A 4,964-nucleotide genomic window follows, 5' to 3' on the forward strand; every position below is an offset into this window, starting at 1 on the left:
GCCTTCTGCCCTAGATTCTCTGTGCATCCTTTGCATCCTTCTTGTCTTCTCTGCTGAATCAGGTCTATCTCTTAGGGCTCGAGTGCCTAACTCCCTCCTCACTCACCTGCCTGGAGAGTCTTAAGCAGGACAGACTGAGGAGCCTCTGTCTTTTGGCCCCGGAAGAGGATCTTAGATGATGCTCCAGATAGGATGGTGACCCTACCAGGCACGTCTTCTGCTCCAGCCTTATAGCTACTAAGCCTTCCCTGATATTCATTCCAGGCCTGACACCCCCTCCCTGAGCCTCACCACTCCCCCACACTTATCCCATTCCAAAGTCTCACTCTCCATATCTGGTCCCAGCTCCATGTTGAATCTCCCTGTTCCCAACACCTCACTGTGACCCTGACTCTCACTCTCCCTCCTTGTAGATCTCTACCGATTCCTGGCATTCATCCTTCTCTGACCTCATCCCAAGCTGCCACCCCATCCCTGCCCCCATCCCAGCTTTGATTTCAACATCAATCACTGATCCCCATCTGAAGCTTGATCTAGGTCCTGTCTCTGAGCCTCACCCTATTCCCAACCTCAAGCCTTCCCTGATCCTTCCCCACACAGGCTAAACCCACACTCTCAGTTTTGCTTAAGCTAGTTTGACTTCTCTTTCTATCATTTGCCATCAGAAGAGCCCTGACATCTTAAGTCCTCACTTGGGACATTTTTACACAGATAAACATCTAATGAAGCTAAACCACAAAGGCAAACTTAATAAGTGGACAGACGGAGGCTGAAAGCGGAGAGGACAGACAAGAGGAGCTTTGAGCAGATGGTGTGCAAAAGAGTGGTCTTTTCAGCATGCATTCATTCCTGTGATCATTATTTATTGAGCATTTAGTAGGCTCCAGGCACCAAGGACATACAGTGAATAAACCGACAGGGCCCTGTCTCCAAGGAGGGAAAACAGACTAGGAAAAAACTGCAACTCATGGAAAGCATTTGGGGAGGGACTGGTGAGCTCACATAGCTTGAGGCAGGGCTATGCCTAGGCAAGGCCTAACCCAGAAGATGATGCTCACCTCAGGGTGAAGCTGAGACTCCCTGGAGGAGCATTTCCTTTTACTTGTGGACAAAGGGATCTTCCTTGGCCAGGGGTATGGGCATGAACAGGAGTTTCTGTGCCTCAAGAGACTGTTCTAGCAGGAGTTAAAGCCCCAGGGAACACTGCCCTTCAACCCAGAGAGGTGCCTTCTTAGGAGGTGCTGCCCCCATTCTACTGCAGGAACAGCCAACAATGCTGCACACACCCTTGACTCTGTCACAACCAAGATACTTCCACAGGGACAAGCACGGAACAGAAGCTTTATTAGGAACATCTGCCTGCCCAATGGACTGGTGGCTGCACATGGCTTTCTAGGGATGCTGATGCTGCACGCCAGCCTGGAAGCTGCAGAGGGGAAGGGCTAAGGGCTGCTTGTCTCGTTCCACTTGGGGCTCAGCAGGTGGCCAGCACATGTGTCTGCGATGTTGGTCATGGGGGTAAAGGGGGTTCTTGTGGCATAGATCTGGCTTCCAAACCCTCTTTCTCTTTGTTCATCCACCACCCCCAAGGGGAACATGTGTTTCCAGCTCCTCACAAGGCCAGCTGGCAGGTTGATGTTTTGGCAGTGCCTGCCTCAATGTCTCCAGCAGACACTGCAACACACCTGAGATGGGAAAACCACCCCCCTGAGCTCGGATCAGAGCACACAGAGCCACCAGCTTGGTGGCTCAACGCTTAACACTCAGAGTTGAGGAGATGCTCCTGTGAGGGTCAACGAGAGCATCCAGCCCTCATGAGGACACAGCTTCAGCCCTGTTCTCTCATCTAATGTCAGATTCGGGGCTCAGATGTGGCCATGCTAATTAGCCAGTTAGTGGGTTAAAGATGTGACGTTCAACGGGAATGATGGTGCTTCGTTTCCATGGAGGTGCAAAGGCCGGTCCTTGGAGGTACCTCAACAGCTCCTCAGAAGGTTGGTGTGGCCCCTGAAGACACCAGTTCCTAACTTCCCCACATCCTATAGCGTCCCCCCAAAACCCAGATAGTGCCTGTCCAGAGCCAGATCACCTTCCACACACAACCTCAGGGTGTTGGTTATTCTTTCCTTCTGAGAAGAGATATTCCTTCATCGATGGTTTTCAGAGGTTGGAAGAGACATTGACAGACGAAGAAGTGTAGGAGGTAACACGATGACGTGCCAAGAACTCCTTGCTGACCAGGCCATGCATAGCCAGGATCTTGAGGAATCCATGGCGAAAATTTTGGCCGATGAAGGCGTAGATGATGGGGTTGAGGCAGCTATGGAGAAATCCCAGAATCTCAGTGGCATCCAGGGCCCGGCCGATGTTGTTGCGGCGCTCACAGCTCTCCTGGATCACCTGGGTCCTCATGAGGGTGTCTGCCAGCAGGACCAGGTTGTAGGGCAGCCAGCAAAGCAGGAAGATGAGGACGACAGCAAAGATGACCCTCATGGCTCGGTGCTTCTGCCCCATGTGGGCCTTAAACAGTGTACGCAGGGTGAATCCATAGCAGAACAGCATGACAAACAGCGGCACGATGAAGCCAAAGGTGTGAGGCAGGATCCGCAACACCATCCGCCATTTTGCTGTGTCATTTCCCAGGACCTCATAGCAAACTGGACTGGAATTGTTTGGATGGTAAGCCTGGCGGAAAAGGAAGAAGGGCAGGGACAGATTCATAGACAGTCCCCAGCAGCCAAGACAAACAAACTTGACCAAGTGACGCTTCTGGGTCAGTGTGCGTGTGGCATGGACAATGGCCAGGTAACGGTCCACACTGATGCAGGCCAACAGCAGGATGCCACTGTAGAAGTTGACTTCCTTCAGGAGTGAGACCACCTTGCACAGGAATGTGCCAAAAATCCAGCCATTCACCTTGGAGGCGGCCCAGATGGGCAAGGTCAGGGCAAAGAGTAGGTCGGCCAAGGCCAGGTTCAGCAGGTAGACATCAGTGACGGAGCGGCCGACCCTGCTGTATAAGATGACCAGCATCACCAGGGAGTTTCCCAGCAGGCTCAGCAGGAACACTAGGGCATAGGCGATGATCACAACATACTTGTTGAGTGTCTCAGTTTCTAGCATACAGGGGCTGTAATCTTCATCTGCAGGTGGCATGCCAGTGAAATTTAGATCATCAAAATCCCACATCTGTGGATCTGTAATATTTGACATGTCCTCTTCAGTTTCAGCAATGGTTTGATCTAACTGGAAGGTTAGAAGGAAGGAAATGTGATTTAGTAGCTCGGATTCAAGGCATTCTCATCAATGATGTGAGAGCAGTTACTGGGATATCCTTGGCTTCCCTGTTGGTTTGGCAATGAGAGCTCTCCTTCCTCCTTTGACTCCAACCTGGTCTTCTTCGGAGGTTGGCTTCCCAGTGTTCTCCACCTTCCACAACTCTAAGGCCTGGCCTGAGTGTGGGGTAAGATGGAATATGGGGAAAACACCTTAGCCCTAGCTCAACCTACAACTGCCTCCTCTCAGCCTATGTCTCTACCTCTGTCCCTCTTTAGCCTTCTCCATCCTCAGCTGTGTCTGTGCATTTGGATGTGGGGACCAGGTTGGTCTTAGACATTCAGGGAAGGGCCAGCATTAAGCAAAATGCAAGAAGGCAAACCTGTTCCCAGGTGTCCCCTTCTACTATTTCTATTCCTATGTTCTCCCTGATTCTTGTTTACCCTCCTTAAAATCTACTGGGGGAAGGAAGTGATAACAACACATTGCATTAAACTGTATATTTTAAGCCTTCTTTAAATGAGGAGCACATATTTTGTTCCTCTGTCTAAAGGAGTTTTAAGTATTTGAGAAGATAAAGTCTCCATCTTGGTCCCTGAAACCCTCCACCCCTGAAAAAATCCACAGAATCATTCAAGAGTTTTCAAATATATTTCCTATTGTGAAATAGTTTACTGAAATAAGATCTTCCCAGAAGCCCAGTATGTGAAGCAGATAAAAGCTGAGCCACTGTGGGGCAGAGTGTGCTAATCTCCGAACCCAGATGGCCCCTAAAGAGCCCCTCAAAGCTCCAGGACTCTCCAGAGAAGTCTGAAAGCCTTTGGAAAGTCACCGAGGTTGGTTGTAAAGACACCTAGCATCCAGTCTTCATTCCATCCTGATTCTACCATTAATAAGTTTCGTGTGTAATCCCAGCCCTTTGGGAGGCCAAGGCAGGCAGATCATGAAGTCAGGAGTTCGAGACCAGCCTGACCAAAATGATGAAACCCCGTCTCTACTAAAAATACAAAAAAATTAGCTGGGTGTGGTGGCGTGCACCTGTAATCCCAACTACTCAGGAGGCTGAGGCAGGAGAATCACTTGAACCCGGGAAATGGAGGTTGCAGTGAGCCGAGATCGTGCCACAGTACTACAGCCTAGGCGACAGAGTGAGACTCCATCTCAAAATAAATAAATAAATAAATAAATAAGTCTCATGACCTTGAGTGGGGTCTCGTACCCCTATAGATTTCAGTCTTCTCATCTGCAAATCGAGGAAGACAGAATCATCCACCTCTCATTTGCTGCCAGGCCTGAGGGTGTATGATGAGTCCACTCAGATCCACACATTTTAGTGTGTTCCCTCCCTACCAGTATTTGCATTTTCACTGAAGACAAAGTCTTAAGGTGAAGCAATAAACATCAAATTGGGGAATGGTCAGCCTCTTCCCACAAAAGGGCAAGGTATAAAAAGAGGGGATGAGGAGGCTGTCCTCTTCACCTGCTAACTCCATGTATGAGTGGTGGTCACAAGAGAGGAAGCGGGCAGCAGAAATCCTCAGCTCCCACAGAAATGAATACATTTTCCAAAATAAAGTCAAGCCAAGCAGCCCTACCCCACAGAAAGTCCTAGCAAACAGAGGTGGCTTCCTACCTGAAGCACCGGCCAGGTGTGTCCAACAGTAGGAGCTGCAGTCAGAGATCAGAGT

At 49.9% G+C, this 4,964-nt stretch overlaps 1 protein-coding gene across 1 annotated transcript; it reads right to left on the reverse strand.

Annotated features, from left to right (window-relative positions):
* On the reverse strand, window positions 843-4,964 carry CXCR1 (C-X-C motif chemokine receptor 1). Its single transcript, NM_000634.3, has 2 exons — window positions 4,910-4,964; window positions 843-3,246 (listed from the first exon to the last, which is right to left on the reverse strand). Exon 2 carries the CDS (start codon window positions 3,211-3,213, stop codon window positions 2,161-2,163), a length of 1,053 nt encoding a protein of 350 aa, NP_000625.1. The 5' UTR covers window positions 3,214-3,246; window positions 4,910-4,964; the 3' UTR covers window positions 843-2,160.

This window comes from Homo sapiens, chromosome 2 (assembly GCF_000001405.40).
Source record: "Homo sapiens chromosome 2, GRCh38.p14 Primary Assembly".
NCBI classification, from domain to species: Eukaryota; Metazoa; Chordata; class Mammalia; order Primates; family Hominidae; genus Homo; species Homo sapiens.